This window comes from Homo sapiens, chromosome 1 (assembly GCF_000001405.40).
Source record: "Homo sapiens chromosome 1, GRCh38.p14 Primary Assembly".
Taxonomy (NCBI): domain Eukaryota; kingdom Metazoa; phylum Chordata; class Mammalia; order Primates; family Hominidae; genus Homo; species Homo sapiens.
The window spans coordinates 168785104-168798126 of NC_000001.11; the positions used below are offsets into that span (position 1 = coordinate 168785104).

Below are 13023 nucleotides of genomic sequence, written 5' to 3' on the forward strand. Positions count from 1 at the left end.
AGGGGGCCTCATGACCTTTGAATAGGTCACATTATCCAATCAACTTCATTCTAATATACTCACGTACAGACGGGCAGCTTTGCTACAACCCCAAAAAGAGATGACTCAGGAGGCAAAGGTAGGGCACCAAAGTTATGAGCTCTAGATCCAGGCCGACTGGGATTATAAAGACTTAAATACAGAGCAAAATGAATATGCTAACATGTATTTATTTCATATAATAAATGTATCCCAAAATTTAAGATAAATAAAAAATTAGGCTGGGTGCAGTGGCTCATGCCTGTAATCCCAGCACTTTGGGAGGCCGAGGCAGGCGGATCACCAGGTCAGGAGTTCAAGACCAGCCTGGCCAACATGGTGAAACCCCGTCTCTACTAAAAATACAAAACTTAACTGGACATAGTGGCACATGTCTGTAATCCCAGCTACTTGGGATGCTGAGGCAGGAGAATTGCTTGAGCCCATGAGGCAGAGGTTGCAGTAAGCTGAGATCACGCCACTGCTGCACTCCAGCCTGGGCAACAGAGCAAGACTCCATCTTGGGAAAAAAAATCAGCTACATGAAAATTTTAATGTATTTTATGCTGTGTGACTCTCTTCTTTCTAGGTCCTTAGGTGAAGGAAAGTAAGAAAGATGGCAATACAGGAAAGGAACTAATATTTAAAGAATACTAGTATCTCTCTGTGCCATTTATATCTACCTCATTTCATTTAACCTTCAAAAGCATATGATTATGTAGATGCTGTAATGTTATTTCAATTTTACAGAGGAGTAAATTGAGGCACAATAATGATAAGATATTTAGCCTCGGCTGGGCATGGTGGCTCACGTTTGTAATCCTCACACTTTGGAAGGCCAAGGCAGGTGGATTGCTTGGCCCAGGAGTTCAAGAGCAGCCTGGGCAAAAAGGAGAAACCCCATCTCTTTTTTTTTTTTTTTTTTTTTTGAGACGGAGTCTCGCTCTGTCGCCCAGGCTGGAGTGCAGTGGCGGGATCTCGGCTCACTGCAAGCTCCACCTCCCGGGTTCACGCCATTCTCCTGCCTCAGCCTCCCAAGTAGCTGGGACTACAGGCGCCCGCCACTACGCCCGGCTGATTTTTTGTATTTTTAGTAGAGACAGGGTTTCACCGTTTTAGCCGGGATGGTCTCGATCTCCTGACCTCGTGATCCGCCCGCCTCGGCCTCCCAAAGTGCTGGGATTACAGGCGTGAGCCACCGCGCCCGGCCCCCATCTCTTAAAAAAATGCAAAAAATTATCCAGTTGTGGTGGCTCACACCTGTGGTCCCAGCTACTCGGGAGGCTGAGGCGGGAGGATCACTTGAGCCTGAGAATTAGAGACTGCAGTGAGCCAAGATCGCACCACTGCATTCCAGCCTGGGTGACAGAGGAAGAACCTGTCTCAAAATAAAAAAATAATAATAAAAAAATAAAAAAATCACCCTCATTTCCATGGCCAGTAATAAAAAGAGAAACAGAAATTTTAATACAGGAATGATTACTGTATTTCTTTGTGGGAATTGTGGTAAGTTGGTATTTCAGAACAGGCATGTAACCCCTTCTGCCCAATGACACTGGAGGGAAAGTCTACTGCTGGGTAGGGGTGGGGCTTTAGAGAACGGCTTCATGTTACACATCCTTCACCAGAGCATTTTCTTCTGAAAATCCTTTGTAGCAGATTCTATTAGCTTCAGGTAACAGGCAATTATGTGCTTTAAGAGAGAACCCCTCTCCCAGGAAGTGAACGTGATTGGCACACCAACTGGGGTAATTCATCTTTCCAGGGATTAATTTAAGAAAGGGCATGTAAGACTGCTTTAACCAAAGAGACATGAGGGGAAGTCTGCTTGAAAGGAGGTAGTAGTCCAGAAAAAGATTTTGTTTTGCTTTATGAAAAGGAAGCAGGAGGAGAAAGTATTATTTTTTGTCTTTAGATTTACCATGAGCATGTGATGCTTAGGCTACGGCAGCCATCTTGGTACCCTGAGAAGAGTCACCCTAAGAGAAGATGCCAGCATTCTAGGAAAAGCAGGGCGGGGATGGAGAAAAAATCCAGGGCCTGGATGACATTGCTGAGCTGCTGAGTTAACCTAGAACTATCCTAACTCAAGATTTCTCTTTATAAGGTAATATATTTCCTTATATTTAGATCATTTGAAATTTGATTTTTGGTTACCCTGCCTGAAATGTGGTAACTGATAAGGCTTTTCAATTTCAGGTTTGTTGATAGGGGTTTCTTTTTCCTGGTATAATATATGATATGTGTATACGTGTCTGTGCATGTATGTGCTTAAGGGATAAAGGAAAGAGAAAGGTGTCTCTATTCATCCTTAGAAAGTTAGAAGTTTAGTGCAAATTTTTAAAGTATAAAGGAAAACGGCAGATTAATTTTGAAAATAAGAAATTAAGAACAGGGAAAGGACAAGTGTTATGCAGTTGAATGGGCATATGCTCAGGAAGGGTGTGTGTGTGTGTGTGTGTGTGTCTGTGTCTGTGTGTGTCTGTGTGTGCATGTGTGAGTGTGCATATGTGTGTTCCCTATTTCTCCATATGTTTTATTTTCATTAACTGTTCAAAAGACTAAAAAGGCTTACACTGAAGTTATTGTGTAGTTTTCTGTGAGGTTCATGGTTAGGGCAAAATTCAAAGGCAATAGGAACTTTCAAGCACAAAGAGCTTCAAACGGTGTCCTCTTTCATGCTTAAAGCCAACTTACTTCTCCCTCGGAGCAGAAAAAGCAAGTAGAAGATGCCAGAATTGAGGAAACCCCAGAGAAGACATTTGTTGGTTATCTGTCGAGTAGTCCCCTTACCCTCTTTCCAGCTGTCTTTGATTTGTTCTTAAAGATTCCTGTATTTCCAGGAAAACTGAATTTTCTCTCTGCTTCCTATTTAGAGCACATATTGCCAAGGTTAAGCTGATAACCACATTTTATCCTCCAGCTATGATGATTGTTAAGGGGTGCGTTTGTTGCCAAAGCTGGTCCAATCGGACTAACTTTCAGAATGATTGTTGGGAATCCAGTGCAAACACTCTTGCTACATGAGATGCCATGTAGCCCTGAGATTCTGGCAGCCATCTTAGGACCAGCCTCAAGATGAAATGGATATCAAAATTGGGTCCTTGGGTGACATTGTTGAAGTACTAACGGAAACTTTACCTGAAGCTAGTCCCACTTCTGGAATTTTTAATTTCATGACCCAATACATATCATGTATTTTTAAGCTAATTTGAAATTTTGAATTTTTTATTTTGGTCATTTACAACCCAAAGCCTCCTCTGTGATGCAATCTGTTGGAATCATCTAGTGCTTTCCTCTCATTTTACAAATAAGAAAATGAGGCCCTAGAGGGAACTTACTTGCCCAAGGTCAAACAGTACATAGTTAAAGATCTGCTACAGGAAGAAAAGTTTCCTGACTCCAGTCTGTTCTTTTCTCATAAACTTTTCCTCTCACATGTGTATAGAGAGTGGTGATATTTTCTAGCCAGGCAGAAATTAGCGGAATGCCAGGCAACCTTTTACCTACAAACTAGTTTTAAAAAAAAGTATTTACGTGGCTACTGGGATTTCTTGGATGCGTTGCATTAAGTAATTTGGGGGTATATGAAATGAAATCATAGTGGGCCATTCTGCTTTTCTAACATCTCCTTAAGACTATATGTATTTGCACTACAGAATCTCTCTTGCAGGAGTAACACAGGCATGTGGAGAATTTCTCAGAGTATTTCCGCAGCAACCAACTGGCATGAAGAATACTTTGCTGAAACATGGGGTTCAAAAGCAGGTATAGAGCTCCAAATCTGATTCTTCCCCACCAATTGCATGTTTGCCTTACTTGTATACATCTCTTTGTGTGTATATGTATGTATGTACATGTGTAAGTGGTATGTACACAACAATATAGTTTGGGAAGCTTTGTAACTAATCCAACTTTACTTACCTTTTCCTTTTTATCTTTTTCATTGAGAAGGATCTTAGCACCTCTTGCTCACGTACTCTGTATTTCTCTTACTCTTTCCCTCTCTTCCTTCATCCCTCCCTAACTCACCTCCTCTCTACCTCCTATGCATCCACTTCACTATGGAAATGTTTTCAAGTTCCACCCTCTTGACCGTCATTTGAAAGGAGAAAAATCCTCCATTTCAGCTAAGCGTGTGCCATGCATAGTGGTTACTATGGAAATACACAAAGGAAATACCTGAAAAGAGATGTCAAGTTGAAAAACAATATTTTCTTCAACCAAGGTGTACGGAAATGAAATGGGTTACTTTATAAAGCAGTATATTAGCTGTCACTGGAAGTGTGTAGCATAAAGTTTAGACTACGTAATATTTTAGAACCACACCAGCAAAATGCCTACGGATAGGAATCCTACGTGCCTTTTCATCATAAGGCATTCTCCCTAGGCTTTTTTCCCCCATCTTATTCTCAGAAAATTAATAAACTTCCCTATTTCCCCAAAGCACTGAAATATAAACTATTTTTTTATTGATGGATGTATTCAACAATATTTGTTGAGTACCTACTATGTACCAGGCATCGTGCTAGGCCCTGAGGCCACAAATGGAGGATAAATATTAAATTCCTGATAAATGCCTGCCCCCTGGAGAGAGAAGGAAGAAATGGGAATTGTGACGTTAAGAAGGTAATGTTTTGTTTTTTGAAAAAATAGCTCTGAAGCAAATGTGAAAAAGCATTTTAAAATTTTGGTTTTTGATTACATGGGTGCTTTTTATATTATTATTGGTTCTCTTTTGCATTTTTCAATTAAAAATAGATTGTAAATAAAAGGGATTTTGTGACATTCATGTAAGGGGAAAACTGAAACATGTCTGAAGAATTTAGAAATATAGAGGTCTTTGGAGAGCCTACTCAGAGCTGGATCTGGAAAATGACGGGAGTGGGCATGAGACTAAAGTGTGCTGAGGAGTGAGGGGTAGAGGGGAGGAAAGGGGGAAGTGAGTTTGGACGTTAGAAAGAAAGGCTGGAAGAGGGATGTGGAAGAGGTGTATGCTCTTCATTGGGTAAGACTTGGGCATTTTTAACGCTAATAGAAAGGATTCAATTGAGATGTAGGGTCTAAATATGTAAGAGAAGGAAGGCGAAATTGTTCACAAGAAGATAAAGCAGAAGGGTCCAAAGCACAGAGAGAAGGACCAATGGCAGACAGGATGGACAACTTCTTTTCCTACAGTGAAAAGGAGCAACATTAGATTCTGATGTAGGTAAGTTTGTAGTCTTTATGGTTGAAAATTGAGGGTATTATTGATGGTTTCTTAAAGCAAATACATGCACATACACATGCACACATACTCACATTATATATATGTATACATAGAAAACTATGTAGAAGTCGGCCGGGCACAGTGACTTGCGCCTGTAATCCTACCATTTTGGGAGGCCAAGATGGGTGGATTGCCTGAGCTCAGGAGTTCAAGACTAGCCTGGGAAACATGGTGAAACACCGTCTCTACTAAAATACAAAAAAAAAAAAAAAAAAAAAAAAAAAAAAAAAAAATCAGCCGGGTGTAGCGGCAGACGCCTATAATCCCAGCTACGCGGGAGGCTGAGGCACAAGAATTGCTTGAACCTGGGAGGCGGAGGTTGCAGTGAGCTGAGACCGTGCCACTGCACTCCAGCCTGGGAAGCAAAATGGAACTCTGTTTCAAAAAAGGAAAAAGAAAACTATGTGGAAGTCAGAGATCATCATGGTGGCTTAGTTCATTTGCTCCTTATTGCTAAAGTGACATCAAAATGCCACCTAACTACTGAAGTCTGATTTTCCTTGACTTCTATCCATGCCAGGAACGCTAGTTACTGCTGTAGCCTGCTTTTTCTTTTGTCTTTATCATCCAAACATTTTCTTCATCTCTAAACCACTGTCCTGACGCAGGGCATCTTCATTCCTCATCTAGATTATTTCAACAGTTTTCTAACATGTCTTTCTATTTCCAATACAGTTTCCACACTGTAACAAGAATTTTATTGCTAAAACACAATTCTATTAATGAAATTTCCGTAACTAAAACTGTTCCATGGCTTTTTACTTTCTTTGAGATGAAAGGTTGCCTCCTAAAACCAACCTACAAGACACTTTGTAATCTGGACCCAACCTGACTTTCTCATCGTTCCTCATTGCAGATCCTCTCTCTAAATCAGACTGAAATTGTTCATCATTCCTTACATTTCACTATGCACTCTCTTGTTTGTGGGTTTTTGTGTTTGTTGTTCCCTCCATCCAGTTTATATCCTCCTACTTCCTAACCTTCACTTGGATGACTGCTAATGTCTTCCTCAGTTCTCTTCTTAAATGTTATTCTTCCAGAAACTTCTCCTGATGCCCCAGGACTGCAATGGCTGCCTCTCAAACGGGCATCAAAATCATCCTGGCCACACCCTATCATAGCATTCCTCTATCTTTATCACACACACACACACACACACACACACACCTCTCTCCCTGAAGAGAGAGAGAGAGAGATAAAGAGATATGTCAATATATTGTGTTCCCGTCGTTCTCTGCTCATCTCTTCTTAGCCCGTAACACACTAGGTACAAGAATGGTCACTTGCTCTATGTTGTCAATCAGACTGCAACAAAAATTATATTGCTAAAATGCAGTATCCACAATTTACCACTGTGTTCTCAATATCTTGCACATATTTATTATATATAATATATGAACATATATTTAATAGACATTTATGTAAAAATATATTTGATATATAAATTTATATACTTATATGTAAATATATTTACATATCATAAAGATGTGCTATATATATATATACACATATATATACACAGAGAGAGAGAGAGAAAGCCTATGTTATATTTACCACTGTATATTTACCACTATGTGTGTTATACCACTGTATGTTATATGATATACCGCTGTATGTTATATTTACCACTATATTTACCACTGTATCACCAACATCTTGCACAGTATCTGGCTTATAATAAGCATTTTAAAAATTGTCAACTAAATGAATGAATAAATAAATACATTTTTTACAAAAACTAAAACAGTCACTCAGGATGATCAAAGGTCTTTCCATCACCAAATAAATAAGTGGTAAATCTGAAACCTGAGCTCTCTGAAACCTCCTCCTCTCCTGTCTGTCTCCTATCTTCTCTTCTCCTAATACTGTCTTACCCTAGGAGATGTCATCCACATGGCTAGCCATCTATATAGTGATGACTTACAAATGTGTATTTTCAGCCCACAGCTCTCTTTCAGACCTCTGAAGTCACACCCAGTGGTCTAGTCAACATTTCCTCTTGCAGAGATTGTAAAGGTTTCAATCTTAACACCATGTGACTAATTCGGTCTCTATGATCAAAGCCTTATAAGAAAGAATGACTGGTTGACCCGACATGGACCAAGTGACCGTTCTTGTTCCCAGTGTGTTGTGGGCTAAGAAGAGATGGGCACAGAATGATGGGAACGCAGAGCGAAAGGGCCCAACTCTACCAGGAGGGGAAGATAAAAACTCCTGAAGAAATTATACAAAAATAGAATACTTACAACAGAATTCTCAACATCATTTTTCCCTGTTTGAATCCAGCAAGTCAGCCATTGGTCACTTAAGAGCACTAACCCCTCCCTGGTTTGAAGATGTTCTTGACTTTAAATACAAACATCTGATATTCCAGCTTAGACTCCTCCACAAGAACTAGAGTGTCATCCTATTTTGGCTTCCAGCTCAGTCCCTCTGCTACAAGTCTTGACTCCAGAACTCTGTGGGATAATAAAATACAAGATCATAGCTTGAAAATAGAGCGTGCATCTGGTGTGGTTTGTTGTTTTGGCTTAATTAGGACTTGCCGTTTCCTGAATTCCTGTAATCTCATTTGATGAATTGTGTTGGTTACTTGCTCTGCAGGCTTTGAGCATGTGGCACATATCAGAGGAAATGATTTCCCCTTTCTTCTTTGAAAATCATCTTCTGGTGCATTAAAAAAAGAAAGCCAATGTTTTTGGATTTCTTTAGCTGTCCATAGAATTACCAGTGCTGTGATAGACATTTACTTCTCTGGAGGAAGAAGGGCTTGGGTCCAGTGCATTCAGCTACACATTCAATTCAACAGGTTCTAATGTGCACCTACATGTGCAAGGCACAGTGGAAGTTACAGAGATGAGTAAAACATTTCTACTCTCCCAGGATTTCTCAAGCCAATTCAGGAGACAGATCCACTGACAAGTAACTAAAATGCAAGGCAGACTAGATAAAAGCTATAATAGAGATAATCATCCCTTTCATTTACTTATCTCAGTTTACTTTACAAAGAGCTTCCATACACATTACCTCATTTGATCCTCACAATGGCCCTGTGAGATAGGTGTTATTATCTTCATTTTAGAGTTATGGAAAACCAAGATTCAGAGAGGGTAAATATCTTGCCTACATTCTCACAGCTAGTAATTGGCATATAGATCTTTTGAATCCCAGTCCAGTACCATGGAAGGTCATAGGAGGGAGAGAATGACTTCAGCAGAAGCAATAAGAGAAAGTCTCATGGAGGAGGTGGGGTCTGGGTTGGGCTTCTTCCTTCTGGAATCAAAGTGAAAAGGAAAGTAATTCCAAAGACAGAATAAATATATGAGTAAAGAAATCTTATTGATGTGGAGGTGGGAGAAGAATACTAAGTAGTTTGGGTGTCTATGACTTGCCAGTTGATATAATCAAAATCCATGGAACAGATATAAACTGAGCACTATATTATGTACTTGATTTGATTTTAGAAAACTGTTTTAATTCTCAAGGATTACTCAGCCAGGGGAAAAACATACACATAAAACAAATGAGTCTAATACAAGAGCATATCTAAGTAGTAGCCCTATTGCAAAGTACAGATAAATGCCATAGGAGTAGGGTTTTATTTTTATTTATTTATATTTCATTTTACCATTATATTGATTGACTGCAGGGAAGGTAGTTTTATTATAAATGTAGAAATATTAAATTGCTCTAAAGAAATCAGTGTTTTAGGGAGACAGACATAGAGTTGGGGCTGAGAATGAGAAAGTGTTGAAAAGCTCTGAGTGAGTCAGGGCTCCCATGCTCTGTGGCCAATGAGTGTTCTCACGATGGGTGTGGACTAATGATGCTGCCTAGCAATGCTTATTGGGCTTGAAGAGGGATTGGCGGGTTTAAGGAAGATGAGGTGAGCCCTCTGTGTGAGGTGCTGAGCCGCGCTGACTCATCCCACGCCAAAAGAAGCAACCCCATTGGAAGAAGTGAAGAGAGAAAGTGGAGGAAGATTGAGCCTCTGGTGCCCAGGCAGGCAGAAGTGCAGCAGCTGGCTATCCACCGAGTCTAATGTCTTCCTGGCAGGATGCTGGCACACAGAACAACATGATTTCACTTAATTCTAACACCAAGTCTTGAAATACATTAAATGGGTATCATAAATGCATCTACAAGTAGCAAACCCTCTTAAAGGAGTTTAATAACCTACTCAGAGTCACACTTAATACCGTGACTGTTGAATTCTGCCAGAACCAGAATTCAAAACTAGATCTATTTGATCTATTTGTTAATACATATCAACTGTGTGTTAACAGAGTATCTACTTTATATTCACTTTTATCACAATTCATTAGTTTAATAAATAGTGTAGCAGACATGCTATGTGCAAATTCACAAAGTTGGGAGAAATTACAAAAAGTGTTGTAATCAGATTTGGGGAACTCAGTATGTGCATGTATGTGTGTATATTTGTTGAGGGGGTGTGTATAGACAGCAGTACCTAGGGGAGTATGTTTAGATAAAGAAGAGTTTTATTTTGGTTTTAAAATGAAAGATAACAGGCCAGGTGTGGTGGCTCATGCCTGTAGTCCCAGCACTTTGGCAAGGTGAGGTGGGTAGATCACTTGAGCCCAGGAGTTGAAGACCAGCCTTGGTAACATGGTGCAACCTTGTCTTTATAAAAAATACAAAAATTAGCAGGGTGTGGTGGCATACACCTATTGCCCCAGCTACTTGGGGTCAGGTGCTGGGGTGAGAGGATTGCTTGAGCCCAGGAGGTCAAGGCTGCAGTAAGCCATGATCCACGCCACTGCATTCCAGCCTGGGTGACAGACAAAGACTCTGTCAAAAAAAAAAAAAAAAAAAAGAAAGAAAAGAAAAAGGAAAAAGAAAGAAAGATACCAAGAGCACATTTGTGTCCCCACGGGAGTAGGCAAAGGAGAGTAAAAGAATGGTGACAGGAGGAGGGTGAAGACTAAAGGTCAAAGTTTCAAAGAAGGTCAAAGGGATGGGACCCAGAGCACAGGAGGGAAGGACGGACCCTTCCTCCACCACAGGGAAGAGAAGCAGGAGGCAATAGGAGAGATGCAGGTGCCTTTTGTGAAACTTGCAACGTCTGCCTTTACAAAACAAGGTCTGTTTTTATATGGTCTTTTTGGTCCATTTGCCATTACGCACTTTTTTTTTTTTTACAGCTTTATTGAGGCATACTTAACATAAAATATACTGTACATATTTAAAATGCACAATTTGATAAACTTTTACTTACACATACACCCCTGAAACCATTGCAACCATCGAGAGCATGAACATAACCATCAACCACCTGAGTTTTCTCATGTCCCTTTGTAATACCATCTTCCAAGCCTTCCCCAGCCCCACCCCTCCCAGGCTAACACTGATCTACTCTCTGTCACTATAGATCTATTCGCATTTTCTAGACTTTTCTATAAATGGAATCCTACCACATATACTATATTTTGTCTGGCTCCTTGTGCTTAGCATAATTCTTTTGCGATTCCTCCATGTTGTGTGTGCATCAATCGTTCATTCTTTATGTATTGCTAAAAAGTATTCCAATGTATGAATAAGCCACAATTTGTTTATTCACTCACCTGTTGAAAAATGCCTGGATCATTTTCAGTTTGTTAAATAAAACTGCTATGGACATATTCATGTACAAGTTTTTGTCCAGATATATGTTTTCATTTCTCTTGGCTAAGTACCTGAGAGTGAAATGACTGGAACATATGGTAGGTATATGTTTAACTTGGAGTAAAACTGCCAATTTTCTTCCAAAGTGGCTGTACTCTTTCATGCTTCCACCAACCACATTCTAGTTCTTCCACATCCTTGCAAGCACATGATATGAACAGTTATTTAATATTGTAACCATTCTGATAGATGTGCAATCTTATCTCACCATGATTTTAATTTGTAATTCCCAACTAATAAATAATATTGAATATATTTCATGTGCTTATTTACCATCCATGTATCTTTTGTGGTAAAATTTTGCTCAAGTCTTTTTTCCATCCTTTTTTTAAAAATTGAGTTTTAAGAGTTCTTTACATGTTCTGAATACAAGACCATTAACAGATATTTTACTTGCAAATATTTTCTCTCAGACTATGGCTTGTCTTTTCATTCTCTTAATAGTGTTTGTCACATAGTAATAGTTTTTCATTTTTATCAAGTTCAAATCATCAAATTTTTATGATTTGTGCCTTTGGTATAATATCTAAGAAATATTTGCCTTACCCAAGGGCACAATAATTTTTCTCTTTTTCTTCTTATAGGGAATTTACAGTTTTAGTTTTACATGTAGGTATATAATCCACTTTGAGTTAATTTTTGTATATGCCATAAGTTGTGAATCTAAGTTCACTGTTTTGCATAGGAATAACCAGCTATTCCAGCAGAATTTACAGGAAAAACTATTCTTTCTCCATTGAATTACCCTTTCACTTTTGTCAAAAATCAATTGATGACTGGGCACGGTGGCTCACACCTGTAATCCCAGTACTTTGGGAGGTCAAGGCAGGTGGATCACTTGAAGTCAGGAGTCCGAGACCAGCCTGGCCAGCATGTTGAAACCCGTTTCTTCTAAAAAATGCAAAAATTAGCTCGGCGTTGTGCCGGTCATCTGTAATCCCAGCTACTCAGAAGGCTGAGGCAGGAGAATCACTTGAACCCAGGAGGTGCAGGTGGCAGCGAGCCGAGATTTCAGACTGCACTCCAGCTTGGGTGACAGAGTGAGACTCCATCTCAAAAAACAACAACAACAACAAAAAACCCACAATCAATTGACTATATATGTGGCTTTACGTCTGGACGCTGTTTCAATGATCTATTTGCCTACCATTTCAGCAATGCTACTTCATCTTGATTTTCATAGCTTTAAAATAATTTTTAAAGTCAGGTAGTAGGATAAGTCCTCCAATTTTATCTTTTTCATAGTTGTATTGGCTATCCTAGGTCCTTTGAATTTTCATATAAATGTTAGAATCATCTTGACAATTTCTGCAAAAATATCTACTGGGACTTGAACGGGATCCTATGGAATCTATACACCACTTTGGGGAAAATTGACACCTTTTTTAAATTTTAGTTTGAAATAATTATTGGTTTACAGGAAGTTGCAAAGATGGTACAAAGAAATACAGATGCCCTTCAGTCTGTTTACTCAAAGGTATTTATTTGTTCAATGTGTGTGTGCAGTTCTATGCCTTTTTATCAAATGTAGGTTTGTGTAACCACTATCACAGACAAAATACAAGACTGCTCATCACCACAAAGATCTCCCTTGTGCTACTCTTTTATGCTCTTACCCACCTTCCTCTCCATCGTTCCTAGCCTCTGGCAACCACTCATCTGTTTTCCGTCTCTATAATATTTTTGTTTTAAAAATGTTATATGTGGATTATATATAACATTTATGTTATATATGGATTTATGTTATATGTGGATATATATAACATTTATATATAACCTTTGAGACTGGCTTTTTACACTTAGCATAATGCTTTTGAGATCCATCCAAGTTGTTGCATGCATCAATAGTTCATTCTTCTTCATTGCTGAGTAGCATTCCATGGTCTGGATATACCACGGTTTGTTAAACCATCCATCTATTGAGGGTTATTTTGGTTGTTTATGGTTTTTGGTCATTACAAATAAAATTGCTGTGAGCAATTGTGTACATACAGGTTTTTATACATATGTACATACTTGTTTCTCTGAAGTAAATGCCCAGGACTGTAATT

The 13023-nt window shown here is 39.2% G+C and overlaps 1 long non-coding RNA gene across 1 annotated transcript; it reads left to right on the forward strand.

Moving 5' to 3' along the window:
* Window positions 1–1837: 1837 nt before the first annotated feature.
* LINC00626 (long intergenic non-protein coding RNA 626) lies at window positions 1838–7785 on the forward strand. The gene is made up of 3 exons (NR_024160.1): window positions 1838–2125; window positions 3678–3786; window positions 7228–7785. It is a non-coding gene; the product is annotated as a long intergenic non-protein coding RNA 626 (long non-coding RNA).
* Window positions 7786–13023: the final 5238 nt, after the last annotated feature.